Source organism: Homo sapiens, chromosome 13 (assembly GCF_000001405.40).
Source record: "Homo sapiens chromosome 13, GRCh38.p14 Primary Assembly".
In the NCBI taxonomy this organism is placed as follows: domain Eukaryota; kingdom Metazoa; phylum Chordata; class Mammalia; order Primates; family Hominidae; genus Homo; species Homo sapiens.
In genome coordinates this window covers 19,258,583-19,277,628 of record NC_000013.11, presented here as the reverse complement: position 1 = coordinate 19,277,628, position 19,046 = coordinate 19,258,583, and the positions used below count along the sequence as shown (strand labels likewise).

General features: G+C 39.3%; 1 pseudogene across 1 annotated transcript in view; it reads left to right on the top strand.

The window, feature by feature from the left end:
- The window catches only part of ANKRD26P3 (ankyrin repeat domain 26 pseudogene 3), an 82,174-nt pseudogene extending 67,345 nt beyond the window's left edge, over positions 1-14,829 (top strand). Inside the window, exons 18-21 of the transcript NR_027248.3 lie at positions 13,361-13,406; positions 13,618-13,846; positions 14,278-14,419; positions 14,598-14,829. The product of NR_027248.3 is annotated as an ankyrin repeat domain 26 pseudogene 3 (transcript). The remainder of the gene's footprint in view (positions 1-13,360; positions 13,407-13,617; positions 13,847-14,277; positions 14,420-14,597) is intronic.
- Positions 14,830-19,046: the final 4,217 nt, after the last annotated feature.

Sequence of the window (19,046 nt, the reverse complement as noted above, 5' to 3'; positions counted from 1 at the left end):
GTTTTGGTCACTGTAGCCTTGTAGTATAGTTTGAAGTCAGGTAGTGTGATGCCTCCAGCTTTGTTCTTTTGGCTTAGGATTGACTTGGCGATGCGGGCTCTTTTTTGGTTCCATATGAACTTTAAAGTAGTTTTTTCCAATTCTGTGAAGAAAGGCATTGGTAGCTTGATGGGGATGGCATTGAATCTATAAATTACCTTGGGTAGTATGGCCATTTTCACGATATTGATTCTTCCTACCCATGAGCATGGAATGTTCTTCCATTTGTTTGTATCCTCTTTTATTTCCTTGAGCAGTGGTTTGTAGTTCTCCTTCAAGAGGTCCTTCACATCCCTTCTAAGTTGGGTTCCTAGGTATTTTATTCTCTTTGAAGCAATTGTGAATGGGAGTTCACTCATGATTTGGCTCTCTGTTTGTCTGTTGTTGGTGTATAAGAATGCTTGTGATTTTTGTACATTGATTTTGTATCCTGAGACTTTGCTGAAGTTGCTTATCAGCTTAAGGAGATTTTGGGCTGAGACAATGGGGTTTTCTAGATATACAATCATGTCGTCTGCAAACAGGGACAATTTGACTTCCTCTTTTCCTACTTGAATACCCTTTATTTCCTTCTCCTGCCTCATTGCCCTGGCCAGAACTTCCAACACTATGTTGAATAGGAGTGGTGAGAGAGGGCATCCCTGTCTTGTGCCAGTTTTCAAAGGGAATGCTTCCAGTTTTTGCCCATTCAGTATGATATTGGCTGTGGGTTTGTCATAGATAGCTCTTATTATTTTGAGATACGTCCCATCAATACCTAATTTATTGAGAGTTTTTAGCATGAAGGGTTGTTGAATTTTGTCAAAGGCTTTTTCTGCATCTATTGAGATAATCATGTGGTTTTTGTCTTTGGCTCTGTTTATATGCTGGATGACATTTATTGATTTGCGTATATTGAACCAGCCTTGCATCCCAGGGATGAAGCCCACTTGATCATGGTGGATAAGCTTTTTGATGTGATGCTGGATTCGGTTTGCCAGTATTTTATTGAGGATTTTTGCATCAATGTTCATCAAGGATATTGGTCTAAAATTCTCTTTTTTGGTTGTGTCTCTGCCCGGCTTTGGTATCAGAATGATGCTGGCCTCATAAAATGAGTTAGGGAGGATTCCCTCTTTTTCTATTGATTGGAATAGTTTCAGAAGGAATGGTACCAGTTCCTCCTTGTACCTCTGGTAGAATTCAGCTGTGAATCCATCTGGTCCTGGACTCTTTTTGGTTGGTAAGCTATTGATTATTGCCACAATTTCAGATCCTGTTATTGGTCTATTCAGAGATTCAACTTCTTCCTGGTTTAGTCTTGGGAGAGTGTATGTGTCGAGGAATGTATCCATTTCTTCTAGATATTCTAGTTTATTTGCGTAGAGGTGTTTGTAGTATTCTCTGATGGTAGTTTGTATTTGTGTGGGATCGGTGGTGATATCCCCTTTATCATTTTTTATTGCGTCTATTTGATTCTTCTCTCTTTTCTTCTTTATTAGTCTTGCTAGCGGTCTATCAATTTTGTTGATCCTTTCAAAAAACCAGCTCCTGGATTCATTAATTTTTTGAAGGGTTTTTTGTGTCTCTATTTCCTTCAGTTCTGCTCTGATTTTAGTTATTTCTTGCCTTCTGCTAGCATTTGAATGTGTTTGCTCTTGCTTTTCTAGTTCTTTTAATTGTGATGTTAGGGTGTCAATTTTGGATCTTTCCTGCTTTCTCTTGTGGGCATTTAGTGCTATAAATTTCCCTCTACACACTGCTTTGAATGTGTCCCAGAGATTCTGGTATGTTGTGTCTTTGTTCTCATTGGTTTCAAAGAACATCTTTATTTCTGCCTTCATTTCGTTAGGTACCCAATAGTCATTCAGGAGCAGGTTGTTCAGTTTCCATGTAGTTGAGCGGCTTTGAGTGAGATTCTTAATCCTGAGTTCTAGTTTGATTGCACTGTGGTCTGAGAGATAGTTTGTTATAATTTTTGTTCTTTTATATTTGCTGAGGAGAGCTTTACTTCCAACTATATGGTCAGTTTTGGAATAGGTGTGGTGTGGTGCTGAAAAAAATGTATATTCTGTTGATTTGGGGTGGAGAGTTCTGTGGATGTCTATTAGGTCCACTTAGTGAAGAGCTGAGTTCAATTCCTGGGTATCCTTGTTGACTTTCTGTCTTGTTCATCTGTCTAATGTTGACAGTGGGGTGTTAAAGTCTCCCATTATTAATGTGTGGGAGTCTAAGTCTCTTTGTAGGTCACTCAGGACTTGCTTTATGAATCTGGGTGCTCCTGTATTGGGTGCATATATATTTAGGATAGTTAGCTCTTCTTGTTGAATTGATCCCTTTACCATTATGTAATGGCCTTCTTTGTCTCTTTTGGTCTTTGTTGGTTTAAAGTCTGTTTTATCAGAGACTAGGATTGCAACCCCTGCCTTTTTTTGTTTTCTATTGGCTTGGTAAATCTTCCTCCATCCTTTTATTTTGAGCCTATGTGTGTCTCTGCACCTGAGATGGGTTTCCTGAATACAGCACACTGATGGGTCTTGACTCTTTATCCAATTTGCCAGCCTGTGTCTTTTAATTGGAGCATTTAGTCCATTTACATTTAAAGTTAATATTGTTATGTGTGAATTTGATCCTGTCATTATGATGTTAGCTGGTTTTTTTGCGCGTTAGTTGATGCAGTTTCTTCCTAGCCTCGATGGTCTTTACATTTTGCCATGATTTTGCAGTCGCTGGTACCGGTTGTTCCTTTCCATGTTTAGCGCTTCCTTCAGGACCTCTTTTAGGGCAGGCCTGGTGGTGACAAAATCTCTCAGCATTTGCTTGTCTGTAAAGTATTTTATTTCTCCTTCACTTATGAAGCTTAGTTTGGCTGGATATGAAATTCTGGGTTGAAAATTCTTTTCTTTAAGAATGTTGAATATTGGCCCCCACTCTCTTCTGGCTTGTAGGGTTTCTGCCGAGAGATCCGCTGTTAGTCTGATGGGCTTCCCTTTGAGGGTAACCCGACCTTTCTCTCTGGCTGCCCTTAACATTTTTTCCTTCATTTCAACTTTGGTGAATCTGACAATTATGTGTCTTGGAGTTGCTCTTCTCGAGGAATATCTTTGTGGCGTTCTCTGTATTTCCTGAATCTGAACGTTGGCCTGCCTTGCTAGATTGGGGAAGTTCTCCTGGATAATATCCTGCAGAGTGTTTTCCAACTTGGTTCCATTCTCCCCATCACTTTCAGGCACACCAATGAGACGTAGATTTGGTCTTTTCACGTAGTCCCATATTTCCGGGAGGCTTTGCTCATTTCTTTTTTTCTTTTTTCTCTCAACTTCCCTTCTCGCTTCATTTCATTCATTTCATCTTCCATTGCTGATACCCTTTCTTCCAGTTGATCGCATCAGCTCCTGAGGCTTCTGCATTCTTCACGTAGTTCTCGAGCCTTGGTTTTCAGCTCCATCAGCTCCTTTAAGCACTTCTCTGTATTGGTTATTCTAGTTATACCTTCTTCTAAATTTTTTTCAAAGTTTTCAACTTCTTTGCCTTTGGTTTGAATGTCCTCCCATAGCTCAGTGTAATTTGATCGTCTGAAGCCTTCTTCTCTCAGCTCGTCAAAGTCATTCTCCATCCAGCTTTGTTCCGTTGCTGGTGAGGAACTGCGTTCCTTTGGAGGAGGAGAGGCGCTCTGCTTTTTAGAGTTTCCAGTTTTCTGTTCTGTTTTTTCCTCATCTTTGTGGTTTTATCTACTTTTGGTCTTTGATGATGGTGATGTACAGATGGGTTTTTGGTGTGGATGTCCTTTCTGTTTGTTAGTTTTCCTTCTAACAGACAGGACCCTCAGCTGCAGGTCTGTTGGAATACCCTGCCATGTGAGGTGTCAGTGTGCCCCTGCTGGGGGGTGCCTCCCAGTTAGGCTGCTCAGGGGTCAGGGACCCACTTGAGGAGGCAGTCTGCCCGTTCTCAGATCTCCAGCTGTGTGCTGGGAGAACCACTGCTCCCTTCAAAGCTGTCAGACAGGGACATTTAAGTCTGCAGAGGTTACTGCTGTCTTTTTGTTTGTCTGTGCCCTGCCCCCAGAGGTGGAGCCTACAGAGGCAGTCAGGCCTCATTGAGCTGTGGTGGGCTCCGCCCAGTTCGAGCTTCCCAGCTGCTTTGTTTACCTAATCAAGCCTGGGCAATGGCGGGCGCCCCTCCCCCAGCCTCGCTGCCACCTTGCAGTTTGATCTCAGACTGCTGTGCTAGCAATCAGCGAGACTCCGTGGGCGTAGGACCCTCTGAGCCAGGTGTGGGATATAATCTCTTGGTGCGCCATTTTTTAAGCCCGTCGGAAAAGCCCAGTATTCGGGTGGGAGTGACCCGATTTTCCAGGTGCCGTCTGTCACCCCTTTCTTTGACTAGGATAGGGAACTCCCTGACCCCTTGCGCTTCCCAGGTGAGGCAATGCCTCGCCCTGCTTCGGCTCGCACACGGTGTGCACACACACTGGCCTGCGCCCACTGTCTGGCACTCCCTAGTGAGATGAACCCGGTACCTCAGATGGAAATGCAGAAATCACCCGTCTTCTGCGTCGCTCACGCTGGGAGCTATAGACCGGAGCTGTTCCTATTCGGCCATCTTGGGTCCTCCCTTTGAGTGAGTTTCTTAATCCTGAGTTCTAATTTGATTGCACCATGGTCCGAGAGACTGTTTGTTATGATTTCAGTTCTTTTGAATTTGCTGAGGAATGTTCTACTTCCAATTATGTGGTCGATTTTAGAATATGTGCTATGTGACACTGAGAAGAATGTATATTCTGTTGATTTGGGGTGTAGAGTTCTGTAGATGTGTATTAGGTCTGCTTGGTCCAGAGCTGAATTCAAGTCCTGAATATCCTTGTTAAGTTTCTGTCTCATTGATTTGTCTAATATTGACAGTGGGGTGTTAAAGTCTCCCACCATTATGGTGTGGGAGTCTAAGTCTCTTTGTAGGTCTCTAAGAACTTGCTTTATGAATCTGGGTGCTCCTGTATTGGGTGCATATATATTTAGGATAGTTAGCTCTTCTTGTTGCATTGGTCCCTTCACCATTATTTAATGCCTTTCTTTGTCCTTTTTGATCTTTGTAGGTTTAAAGTCTGTTTTATCAGAGACTAGTATTGCAACCCCTGCTTTGTTTGCTTTCCATTTGCTTGGTACATATTCTTCCATCCATTTACTTTTGAGCCTATGTGTGTCTTTGCACATGAGATGGGTCTCCTGAATACAGCACACCTATGGGTCTTGACTCTATCCGATTTGCCAATCTGTATCTTTTAATTGTGGCATTTAGCCCACTTACACTTAAGGTTAATATTGTTATGTGTGAATTTGGTCCTGTCATCATGATGTTAGCAGGTTATTTTGCCCGCTAGTTGATGCAGTTTCTTCATAGTGTCGATGGCCTTTACAATTTGGTATGTTTTTGCAGTGGCTGGTACCAGTTTTTCCTTTCCATGTTGAGTGCTTACTTTAGGAGCTCTTGTAAGGCAGGCCTGGTGGTGACAAAATCTCTCAGCATTTGCTTGCCTGTAAAGAATTTTATTTCTCCATCGCTTATGAAGCTTAGTTTGGCTGGATATGAAAGTATGGGTTGACATCATTCTCAGCAAACTATCACAAGGACAGAAAACCAAACACCGCATGTTCTCACTCATAGGTGGGAATTGAACAATGAGAACACTTGGACACAGGGCAGGGAACATCACACACCCATACACCTGGGCCTGTCGGGGGGTGGGAGGCTGGAGGAGGGATAGCATTAGGAGAAGTACCTAATGTAAATGATGAGTCAATGGGTGCAGCAAACCAACATGGCACATGTATACCTATGTAACAAACCTGCACGTTGTGCACATGTATCCTAGAACTTAAAGTATAATTAAAAAAAAAAGAAATTATAGGTTGAAAATTCTTTTCTTTAAGAATGTTGAATATTGGCCCCCACTCTTTTCTGGCTTGTAGAGTTTCTGCAGTGTGATCTGCTGTGAGTCTGATGGGCTTCCTTTTGTAGGTAACCTGACCTTGGTCTCTGGCTGCCCTTAACATTTTTTCCTTCATTTCAATCTTGGAGAATCTTGTGATCATGTGTCTTGTGGTTGCTCTTCTCGAGGAGTATCTTAGTGGTGTTGTCTGTATTTCCTGAATTTGAATATTGGCCTGTCTTGCTAGGTTGGGGAAGTTCTCCTGGATAATATCCTGAATAGTGTTTTCCAACTTGGTTCCATTCTCCCCATCACTTTGAGGTACACCAATCTATCATAGGTTTGGTCTTTTCGCATAGTCTCATATTTCTTGGAGGATTTGTTTGTTCCTTTTCATTCTTTTTTCTCTAATCTTGTCTTCACGCCCTATTTCAGTAAGTTGATCTTCAATCTCTGATGTCCTTGCTTCCACTTGATTGATTCAGCTATTGGTACTTCTGCATGCTTCATGAAGTTCTCATGCTATGATTTTCAGCTCCATAAGGTCATTTATGTTCTTCTCTAAACTGGTTATTCTAGCTAGCAGGTCCTGTAACCTTTTATCAAGGTTCTTGGTTAGCTTCCTTGCATTGGGTTAGAGCAGGCTCCTTTAGCTCAGAGGAGTTTGCTATTACCCACTTTCTGAAGGCTGCTACTGTCAGTTTGTCAATCTCATTCTCCGTCCAGTTTTGTGCCCTTGCTGGAGAGGAGTTGTGATCATTTGGAGGAGAAGAGGCATTCCGGTTTTGGGAATTTTCAGCATTTTTATGCTGGTTTTTCCTCATCTTTGTGGATTTATCTACCATTGATCTTTGAGGCTGATGACCTTTGGATGGGGTTTCTGTGTGGGGGGGTCCTTTTTTCTGATGTTGATGTTGTTACTTTCTGTTTGTTAGTTTTCCTTCTAAGAGTCAGGCCCCTCTTCTGCAGGTCTGCTGCAGTTTGCTGGAGGTCCACTCCAGACCCACTTGCCTGGGTATCACCAGCAGAGGCTGCAGAACAGCAAAGATTGCTGCCTGTTTCTTCCTCTGGAAGCTTTGTCCCAGAGGGTCACTGGCCTGATGCCAGCCAGATCGCTACTGTATGAGGTATCTGTCGACCTCTGCTGGGAGGTCTCTTCCAGTCAAGAGGCATGGGGGTGAGGGACCTGCTTGTGGAGACACTCTGCCCCTTAGCAGAGCTTGAGCACTGTGCTAGGGTAATCTTCCTTGTCAGGATCCGCTGCTCTCTTCAGAGCTGGCAGGCAGAAACATTTAAGTCTGCTAAAGCTGTGCCCATAGCTGCCCCTTCCCCCAGGTGCTCTGTCCTAGGGAGATGGGTGTTTTATCTATAAGCCCCTCACTGGGGCTGCTGCCTTTCTTTCAGAGGTGCTCTGCCCCGTGAGGAGGAATCTAGAGAGGCAGTCTGGCCACAGCCGCTTTGCTGTGCTGTGGTGAGGTCCCCCTAGTCCAAACTTCCCAGCTTCCTTAGCAATGTCATGGGAAAGCTGCCTACTCAAGCCTCAGTAATGGCAGACGCCCCTCCTCTCACCAAGTTTGAGCATCCCAGGTTGACTTCAGACTGCTGTGCTGGCAACGAGAATTTCAAGCCAATGGTTCAAAGCTTGCTTGGCTCCATGGGAGTAGGACGTGCTGAGCGAGACCACTTGGCTCCCTAGCTTCAGTCCCCTTTATATGGGAGTGAAGAGTTCTGTCTCTCTGGGGTTCCAGGTGCCACTGGGGTATGAAAAAAAAAAACTCCTGTAGCTAGCTCAGTGTCTGCCCAAACTGCTGCCCAGTTTTGTGCTTGAAACCCAGGGCCCTGGTGGTGTAGGCACATGAGAGAATCTCCTGGTCTGTGGATTGCATTTTCCCTAACTTTAAGGAAAATTATATTACTTATTTCTCTAGTATATGATTTCAGTTGTACTGGTGGTTGAAGCAGTTTTTTTTCTATGTTCATAATGTTTAGCTTTAAAGGCATCTCTCACTATTCCATGAAGTCTAGCTTCGCCACTAATCGATTAGCGATAGAGTGATTAGAGATTCCTGTACATATACTTTGCTAATTTTTACTTTCCGTCTGTACATTCTAGTTTAATTCTGGTATGCTTTGTTTTATATATGAGAAGTAATTTTAAAATTTGATTGGTTCCTCTTTTAATTATATTGTTATAAAAAGGAAACTTAAAATTAGCCTGAACAGCTACTTCACTGTGGGACTTTTTTGCACATATAATAATTTTCCGATCACAGAATCTTAAAAAATGATTCCAATTTTATAAAAGGTAAAACTTACCTGGTTTAAAAACTATGTATGTTCAAGCATTATTTAACACTTCTGTGCCTAACAGAATGCATAACCCACAGTAGTCACCGAGTAAATGTTTTCTTTTAATGTTTTAAATAGGAAGACTCTTTTTTACATTGATTAGTTTTGGATTTGTGGTGCACTACTGACACATTCAGAAATGTTTATTTCAGTAATTTCTCTATTTCTCAAAGATGCTTTCTATTTAGCAACTTCTTCTAAATGTGGTTATACAGGTACATCCAAGCTAAAACAACATTTCTAAATCTTTGATTTTTTTTCATGGTGGAGCATTGTGTCTCAACAGAGTGAGTTGCGTTTCTTCCTAACTAAAAAGAGGCCTGTTTGCATCATGAAGGCAGTGACTCTCTACTCCAAATTTTAACTCCAATGAAACTATCATGATAGTTACGCTGTTTATTCAGGATACAAAGACAGTGTTTGATAAACCTTTTGTTACATCAGTTATATATGTTCTATATAATTCCTTCTGTCTGCACTTTATTGTACTTTCTTACCAAATGTCCAGTACTCAGTTTACCCTTTGAAAGTTTCAGGCAATCTCTCACCTTCTTCTCATTCTTTCTCTTCACTTTTTTCACAAGGTCTTTAAATATATGCGTGGCTCTGTGCTGAATCCTTTAGCTCCTCAATCACCAGACTGTTCCCCACTCATTTTCTCTGTGACAAAATACATGTATTTCATAATCACAGACTGACAAGTATCATTTCCTCCATTCATTAGCCTATTTAAATTTATATTGAATTGCAGTGGTTTAAATAGGCAAACATATTTGATTCTATGACACTTGAGTGCATATTTACTTTTACAACACTTGAATGGTCCTTAAAATAGAGAATGCTATCACAGTTTAATTTGAAAACATCAAAAGTTACTGAAAATATAGTAGCTATAAAAATGTGTGTGTGTGTGTGGTGTGCATGTATTTATTAAATCAGTCTCGAAAAATGCAGCAGTATTTTCCAGCCAGTAATCTCAAGTGTTATTTGACAGTAGCCTGTTACTAGACACTATTGTTGAATGAATGAACTATATATTTGTATTTACTGGGCTTTCCCATTGTTATTGATTTCACTATATTTCTTTTTCTAAAATTTTCCTTTTGAATCTTCTCCTCTTAAAGTGTGGGATGTGTTGGAGAATGTACAGTAAGAGCATGTAACTGAGGAAGAAGGAAACATTGGTATACGTGTTGTAAGGTCAGCTTTCTTGCTGAGGCTGTGGGGAGGTAGGCAGCAAATCCCCTTTGAAGTTGGGAACATAGGAGTCAGACAGATGAGCAGCAACATACTAGCTTTTATTACTGACTCAGAATAACTAATGAGGGATGTGGCTCAGAAGTGCAGGCACAGTGCGCTTCTGAACACTTCATCCCAGATTAGGCACCCACCCACACAGTTATAAGTGGAGAAAGCTTGATACCCATCCCCAAAGCAGGCTGCCTGCTGCAGAGATGACAGCTGACTTGAATTCATGTCACTGTGGACAGACACATCATTTCACAGGACAGACATAGAACCAAGCGAGCACAAATTCACCCTTTTGGTAAATCTTTCCAAGAGGAACGTAGAGAGAATGTAAGTCCTCATGTGGAAATGTGAGGCCAGGGAAACCAAGGTTCTCCTATCATTTCTGCCTGGATTTAAATTGTAATTGAAATTAAATCCATGTCTTTGTAATGATGAGGCAGTGGACAGAAGTGTGCTAGATGAAAAAGAGAAATCTGTTTTGTGTCTTCAATTTTGCTATAAATAACCAACAACATGGATAATTGACTTATTGATTGATTGTGGTAAACCATGTTTTATTTGGAGAAAATTAATAGTCCTTTTGAGGAATAATTTTTCTCAACTTCAGCTTGCTTAGTTCAACTAAAGGCTCTTTATTTCATGTTCCCTGTCCTGTGACTTAAAAAAAAAAGTTCTTTATACATTGAGTACATTCACTGCTACTAACAAAAGTTCTGACATTAATTGCTGTTCTAATTTTTTTCATAACTTTCAAACTTAAAATTTAGAGAAGTACTCTTTTCTGTCTCATGCCTAAACATTATTGAGCTATGTGACAGTTTTACATATGCATTTCCTCTGAGCTGTATTTTAAAATCTGTGTCTGTTTTCTGAATAAGAAGGAAGCAGCTGGCATAGAACTCCAGGCTCAGTAAGGAGACCGGAAGCCCATTTCCGGCCTGTATGTAGCTAATTCACTACGTGACCTCAGGCAAGCTACAATCTCTCTGAGCCTGTGTTGCCTCCTATGAAAAGTTAGGGACTTTAACTACATTGGTGGCATACCTTAAAAAATTGAAGAATAGCCCTTTCCTTTTTAATAAAACGTCTACGAAACTGTATTCTGTAAGACAGAAGTCCAGCTGTCTGGCTAAGGGAGGGATGGGAGCTCTAAACTGTGACTTCCTTGTCTTTTAATCCTGCAGTGTCCTGTGTGGAACCTTAGATTTCTTTGGGACGTAGTTTGAAAACTACCAGTTATGAGAGAATTTTTCTAATTAGCTAAAATTTGTTGGTACATTATTCTGTGTATAATTTGTCACCTACCGATTTTTTTAATGAAAAAGTACAAATGAAGTTTCAAATGTGCTCCCCTTATTAATGTTGGACTTGAAGCCACCTCCATCATCTGAAACATAATCTCCACCTGGAAATAAACAGAAAGACCACGGAGAAAGGAAGAATGTGTTTAATGAAAAGTTTATGTATTTTAATTCATTAGGAGCTAATGTAGCTTTTGATTTGATTGGTATATTGCATAAAATGAAGATAAGCAGTTTACTAAGCTTTTTTATTTCCTCTGACAACGTTCAGTTTCTCCTAAGCTGTTGCTCTACACACTTCCAAAGCCATTGATGCCACCTTTGTCTCTAACTGAATAGGACAGTGATTAATGTCACCAAGATGCTTTTCTTGCCATTTTCCTTCTATAACCTGTACCAGGCACTGTATTAAGTCATTCAATGGGTGACAACAGTTCTGAATTTCTATTAAGGGAATTATTAGGAAAATATATTATTTAATGGAAAAGCAAGAATAAAATGAAAGGGATTTTGAAAAGTCATTTCATATTTGCCAGTTTTCACTGCTGAATATGGGCAGAACTACCCCAGCCTGCCACCAGCCAGGACAAAACTGGGGCCATCAACCCTTCTGACAGCTCTTGCAAGCCCCTTTCAGAACAGCTCCCTCCCTGTGTTCTGGTCTGTCCCTTTTCCCTCTGACCCTGCAAATCTGACCTGGTATCTCTTTCCCAAAGACAGTTGCCCTCAGCAGTCATTTGTGTGGTAAAATATTCAAAAGTCAGCAAAAGGCTGGAAGAGGATTTATGTAGGGAGAGGCAGCTCCAGGATTGGACTAGAGGCAACTACTTCTACACTGTACTCTTTCAGAGTTAGGAGGGAAAAGAATGACCTTTACTTAAATCTATTCTACAAAAAGTTTCCTCTATCTAGAGAGTTAAGACTTCTTGAGGATAAAAGTAAGAAGCCTATCGAGAAAAGTATTTGATTTGTAATCTAAGTAACATGTAAGTATTATGAAAGTATTTGTGACTGTGGTATAATGAACTAATACAATCTATTACACAAAGGAAATATTTAGGAGAAGAGCTTTTGGAAGAAAAGAAAATAATAACATTACATTTGTAGGTTCTTAGTTCAAGTGATGTAAAACTGCACATTTTACACAGTGTTAATGAATGATAACGTAAGATTTCTTCAATAAAGGCTTCTCCCTTTATCTGGTATTGAGTTATTACTTTTATAAGACCCAGCTAGTAATGATTTTGTCGTGTCACCCATTTTATAAAGTCTATCTATAATGTTATTGTCACAAAAAGTTACAGAAAACTGTCTCTCTAGTCCTAAACCTGTTAGTCAGAAAAATGTCTTTAAACCCAAAATTTGTGAAGGCATTGGATATCATATTATCATGATCACTGTGGGTGAAAAGAGTCAAACTCTGTAAAATATTTGAAGAGATTTATTCTGAGCCAAATATGAGTGACCGTGGCCCGTGACACAGCCCTCAGGAGATTCTGAGAACATGTGCCTGAGGTGGTTGGGGTACAGCTTGGTTTTATATATCTTAGGAAGGCATGAAACATCAATCAAATACATTTAAGAAATACATGGGTTTGGCTTCGGAAGGCAGGAAAACTGAAAGCGGGGGCTTCCAGGCTATAGGTAAATTTAAACGTTTCTAGTGGACAATTGGTTGAGTTTGTCTAAAGACCTGGGATCAATAGAAAGGAATGTTCATCTTAAAGATAACCTAGATTGTGGATAGCCTAGACAGATAATCTAAAGATAACCAGCATTGTGGAGACCAAGTTTTATTGAGCAGAGGAAGCACTTTGATAGCACACTTTAGAGCCAGCAGGTTGTAAATTGTTTTTATTGGACTTAAAAGGGTGCCTGGCTATCAGTCGATTATCTCCTGGATCTGGGAGGGAAGGAAGGAAGAAAGGAAGGAAGGAAGGAAGGAAGGGAGGGAGGGAGGGAAAGGGGCCAGGGGATTCTCTATAGAATTTGGATTTTTCCCATAAGAGATTTTGCAGGGCAATTTCAAGGTATAGCAAGGAAATATATTTTGGGGTTAATTTTTTTTCCTTGTCTCATAATGTTATGCCAGAGTCAGATTGAAAAGAAAGTCACAATATATAGAGTTAAATAAAACCCATCTGATGAGAATTTATGGTTTCTGGGGCATGACTCCCCAGACTCCTAGGTAGGAGTTTGGATAAGATAAAAATCAGAGCTTAGTTCTTATCACCATGATATAGTTGTTATTTTTAATATATCAATATTAATTGTAGTTTTTATCAATGCTGTTAGTATTAATCTAAACAGCACAACACATATATGTTCTCTGTTATCTAAACTTAAAATAAGTAGGAATTTTATTTATATGGTTATTGTTTAAGCAATTCTCAAGTTAGATCTAGCCTTTGAAATTATTATATAAAAGGCTACATTTTTATAAGTGATGTATCATTCTCATAATAATGTTTCCTGTTTAACTTAAACATTATAAATTATATTTGACATATTTCAGATGCCGCAGGAGTTTCAAGACAGTATAGCTAGAGAGCTACTAAAAGGTATGTTGCCAAAGTTTATGAACTAAATTTAATTCATTGATTTCTGAAACAAACTATGAATAGCAAATAGCAAGCATCCCTTTCCATAATTTGGTTAACAGGTAATATGTTAAATATTTTTTCATACACACCACTAATGGAAGATGTGAAAGCATTAACATTTATAATGAAAAGTATACTTAACTCGTCATTAATTCATCATGTACCTTAGCTTCAGAGAAATCTCAAGAAGTCTGTGTATCCTTTTTCCTCTGGCTCTACACTTTCTTCACTTCTACCGTCCCTATGGACCTGCCAGCCAGCACACTGAAACTGTTCTCAGAAAACAAAGGCATCATCGACTTCCCAGGTTTATGGTGGTGATTTAAGGCCAAGAGACAGACTCCAGGCTCATCTAGTAACACTCAGGCTACTCCAGTTCAAAGGCAGCCACGTGACAGGTGACATTTTAAATCTCCAGTCATTTACTTTGTCATTGGTTTACTTTTGCTCTCAGGAAAGGTTCCAGATTCCTAGCATGGAGTAAAAACACCCAAATCAGTTTGGCTCCTGTCAAGTTATTCTGCCTCATCTCTCATCACTTGCCATACTCTGTCCCTTTGCTCTATCATCTCGCCAAAGTCAGCTACGCAGAACACAGGGACCTTCCTCGGCTCCAGCTCTCTGCACGTGTTCTTCCCTCCATCAGCCATTCTTCTCTCTTGTCCTTCAGGTACTAACCTACATATTGTCTCCAGCAAACAGCCTACAATATTGACATGAAACTGAGAAACATGTCTCTTCTGTGTGTTCCAACAGTGCCCTGTTTAATACCTGCCATAGTGTCTGTGACTGTCTGTGGAAATTGCCTGCGTGTCTGCTTGCTTTTCAGGTTGTAGCATGCAATGTTGAGGGGTGGACTGTATCATCTTCGTCATGTAATTTCGGTGCTTGTCCTAGTTCCTGAACATATGGTTGTTGAATAAATGAATGAAAAATGAGAAAACCAGGAGCTCTGATACTTAACCACAATGGTAATTCAATCTGTGACTATGACCAAATTATATTTCACAGTAATTTTGTATTGTAATATTGCATACGTATTTTTTATTCTTATGAACACTGATGAAGTTCTCAACTCATGTTACTGACTTACACTTAGTTAACTATGGAATATTTGAGATAAGTAATTCCTTCTTTTTTTTTTTCCAGATGCTGCTGAATTTGAATTGGGATCGTATGTAGTTCCTCATCTAGGAACTAGTGATGAGTCAAATATAAATTAAGATATAGTTTGGAAATATTAAGAAATATGTATTGATTTTAACCAGAAATATATGATCTGAAAGACAGTAGAATGTAATTATTGGTCTGTTTACCTGACATTTTGCTTCCCATTATGTATATGACGTGAAAATCTTTATTAAAGGAAAGTATTTTTGTATCATGCCTGTCTGATGAAAACTTATATAGTATGTAAAGTAATGATTCTTGGTCCTCTTGAGTAACTCTCAAATGGATCTTACAAATGTAAACTAGTATTATTGGCCGGGCGTCGTGGCTCACACCTGTAATCCCAGCACTTGGGAGGCCGAGGTGGATGGATCATGAGGTCAGACCGAGACCAGCCTGACCAACATGGTGAAACCCCGTCTCTACTAAAAATACAAAAATTAGCTGGATGTGGTGGCACACCTTTAATCCCAGCTACTCAGGAGGCTGAGGCAGGAGAATCCCTTGAACCCAGGAGGTGGAGGTTGCAGTGAGCCAAGATCGTGCCACTGCACTCTAGCTTGGGCAATAGAGCAAGACTACGTCTCAAAAAAAAAAAAAAAAGAGAAAAGAAAGAAAAGAAAAAGAAAACGAGTATTATTGAGTTTTACATACTCAAACTTTCAAAATGCCAGCTGGTTAAACAGCCAAACAGCTAAGTTGTCATTAATACTTCAGTGGAGTTAGATGGTTTATTCTTATTTTATAATTTTTCTATAGTGATAGATTTTGATTTAGACAGACATCCTTTTGACATATTGATACTGTGGTCATTGTCAATGTTTGGATGTATGTCAACTGTTACAGTGCTGTCGAACTTACGTAATCTTAATTTTAAGCACTGATATATGTAGATCTTTTCTTCTGGAAATATATGAGTTGCCTTAGGCTTTTCACCTTTTCTATTTATTTATTTTTATTTTTATTTTTATTTGTGAACCTTTTGGAAACACTCTTAAAATTATAGAAAAGTTCCAAGTTGTATTACAAATAATTTCCCCCCTGAACCATGTGAGAGTAAATTGCTGACATTAGGCCAGCACTCCTGATTGCTTTAGTAGGTATTCCCACAAGTCAGGACACTCTACATAACAACCTTGATAATCAGTAAGTTAACTTTAATACATCATGTCATTCAATCTTCAGCTTCTTTTGAGCTTTTATTAATTGTCTGTCATGTCCTTTATAGCAGACGGATCCCATTCAGAGCCATGGGTTGCATGTAGATGTTGTGTCTCTTACACTCCTTCAGTCTGGAGCAGTTCCTCAGGTTTCCTTGACTTCATGGCTTTGAATCTTTTGAAGAGTAAAGTTCAGAGTATAGAATGTCTCTCAGTTGTTTTTTCCTGATGTTTCATTATGATTAGATTTAGATTGTGTTATTTTCAGCAAGAGTATCTCAGAGGTGATCCTGGGATCTTCTCATTGCATCCTACCATATAACCTATAATTTTGATTTGTCTTATTACTGGTGATATTAGCATTGACAGTTAATGATGGTATCTGCTGGATTTCTTTTCTGCAGTGTTACTTTTTCATCTTGTAATTAATTCATATATTGTGGGGAGGTAATTTAAGACTATGTAAATATCTCTGTTCCTCATAAAATCTTCAATTTATTCATTTACTTAGATCAACATGGATGCATGGTTTATTTCATACAATGGGATATAATTTGTTGATATTTTAAAAAATTTGTTTTTCTTCTTAGATATGTTTTGACAATTTCAGACTTAAGGAAAAATTTTAAAAATAGTACAAAGAATCTTTGTGTCTCATTCCTCAAATGTTAACATTTTACTGCATTTGCTTTACTTCTTCACCCACTTTTCTTCTTCTCTTTCTAAATAAATATAAATTTAGGTACACAATATATATTTCTCTTCCTGAACCATTTGTTAGTCACAGACATGATGCCTCTTTATTTCTAAATACTTTACTATTTCCTAAAAAGAAATTTTCTTACATAACTATGATTATCGTTATCAAAATCAGGAAATTGAAACTGATTCAATATTAACATCTAATTGACAGACCTTACTAAGATTTTGCCAATTTCCCCCATAATATCCTTTATAGCCAAAGAAAATCCAAGATGGGGGATTTTCACATTCCATGATGTATTGGGTCCAATTGTCCTCTTTCTTTGTTCTCCTTTAATCTGGGACTGTTTTTGAGCCTTTCTTTGATTTTTCATAACATTCACGTTTTTGAAGAGTATGGGTCAATTATTTTATGGATTTTTTTCTCAGTTTGTGTTCATATGATGTTTCCTCATTATTAGATTCAGGTTATGTCATTCAGGCAGGAATGTCACACAGGTGATGCTGACTTCTTCCCAGTACAACATATCTGGAGGCTTATGCAGCATATCTGGAGGCTGTCACTTGGTTTCATTGCTGGCCAGTGTTGACTTTGCTTCTTTGGTTAAGGAGTACCTGTCAGGTTTGTCCATGGTAAAGTTACAGTTTACCTTTTGTATTTCACTGATAACTTGTGTGGCAATACTTTGTGGCTCTATAAAGGTCTAGTTACGCCTCAAAATTTCACCCACTAGATTTAGCATTGCATTGGTGATTTTTTCTTTTTCTTTTCTTTTTTTTATTGAGACAGGGTCATGCTCTGTACCCTAGGCTCATGCCTGTAATCCCAGCACTTTGGGAGGCCGAGGTGCGCAGATCACCTGAGGTCAGGAGTTCAAGACTAGCCTGACCAACATGGAGAAACCCTGTCTATACTAAAAATACAAAATTAGCTGGGTGTGGTGGCACATGCCTGTAATCCCAGCTACTCGGGTGGCTGAGGCAGGAGAATTGCTTGAACCCGGGGAGGCGGAGGTTGCGGTGAGCCGAGATCAATCGCGTCATTGCACTGCAGCCTGGGCAACAAGAGTGAAACTCAGTCTTAAAAAAAAACAAACCTAAAACTAAAAAAAGTATAGATAGAGTGTTTGTAACACAAAGAAGTGATACATGCTTGAGGTGATGTATACACTATTTACCTTGATGTGATTATTATGCTTTGTATGCCTTGAGCATAACATCTCATGTACTATATATATATATATATATATATATATATATATATATATATATATAATGCACATATAAAAATAATTTTTAAAAAAATACCATGAGAGATCACTTTTCACTGTGAAACAGGATTTACCGGCAAGACAAACTGCTCCTGTGGAGATGATGAGCATCACTCGGTGTTTTAAGTGGATACCTGCAACACTGGGGCTCACTGCAATAGCAACAGGAGGTGGCTATGAAACAGATATAGTAGTAAAGCATGTAATATATTTAACTGTATGTAGTTATGATTTATATTTTATTTTTTAATAAGGGACTTTATATTTTAGAGCTTTTTTAGTTTCCCAGAACAGAAATCTCAAAGGCTCTAGTGTCCTCCAAAAGAATGAGCAAGGCACCTTTAACAGTCCTTGCTCCTGTACCCTGTCAGGAGAGGGAGAAGCCATAGCCAAGTGTCATGAAGAGGTGGCTCAGCAGTTTGAGAAAAGCAGGATATTTTCATATATTCTGTCAGTTCCAGCTGCTAATCACAATTATATGATGGATCCAGTGTGCAAAGACATTAAAGAGAGCATTGGGAATTTGGGGAAGATGGAGCCAGAAATGGAGCTGATTTCAATAACAACAGGAAAAACAGCTTGTGAAGATTTGACTACTGGTAAATATTGATACAGGAACATTCCAGAGCCAGTTGGTTTCATCCAGGCTCTCACAACTGCAGCCAAATGAAGGGAAAATGTCATGTTTGTTGAAATAGCCCCTAAGAGAGCCCTCCAAAGAAACATCAGGTAAATCATAGGTGAAGAAACCTACATTTTCTCTTTTCTACAGCCAAAAAAAGAGTATGAGACTGTTTTTGATTTGGTGCAAACTCTATTTGGATATGGACACAACCTTAACTGGCCATGCTTTTATGAAGGTTTGAAAACAACAGGTTACCTGAGGTATCAACTTGATCACAAGAATCTTAAGACTTATGTAAAGAGTTGTTAGTTGCAGAAAAAAAAATAGCTTACTCCAGTCATCCTCTCATTAGTATTACAAGTGACAACATAGATTTCAGTTGCTTCAGAACTCGGGATACAGCACCCCGTGTTTTTGAGCACAAAACAATGGAACTACTTAGGTTCCTGGTTCCTGTTTTGTGGAGTCTGGTTTGGCTTGTGTGATGGACAGTTTAAAACCCAGAGCACCTCTGAGTACATATCAGGTAAGAGTTGCTTTTTTAGCTCCCTGTGTGGTGAGTCAAAAGTTTTTAGATCATCTCTAAAGATGCAGTTGGAACCTGGAGAAACAGAATGGAAATTTAAAATAATATTTTCTCATTAGTAGTTCATGTAATGAAAGAAGTTAA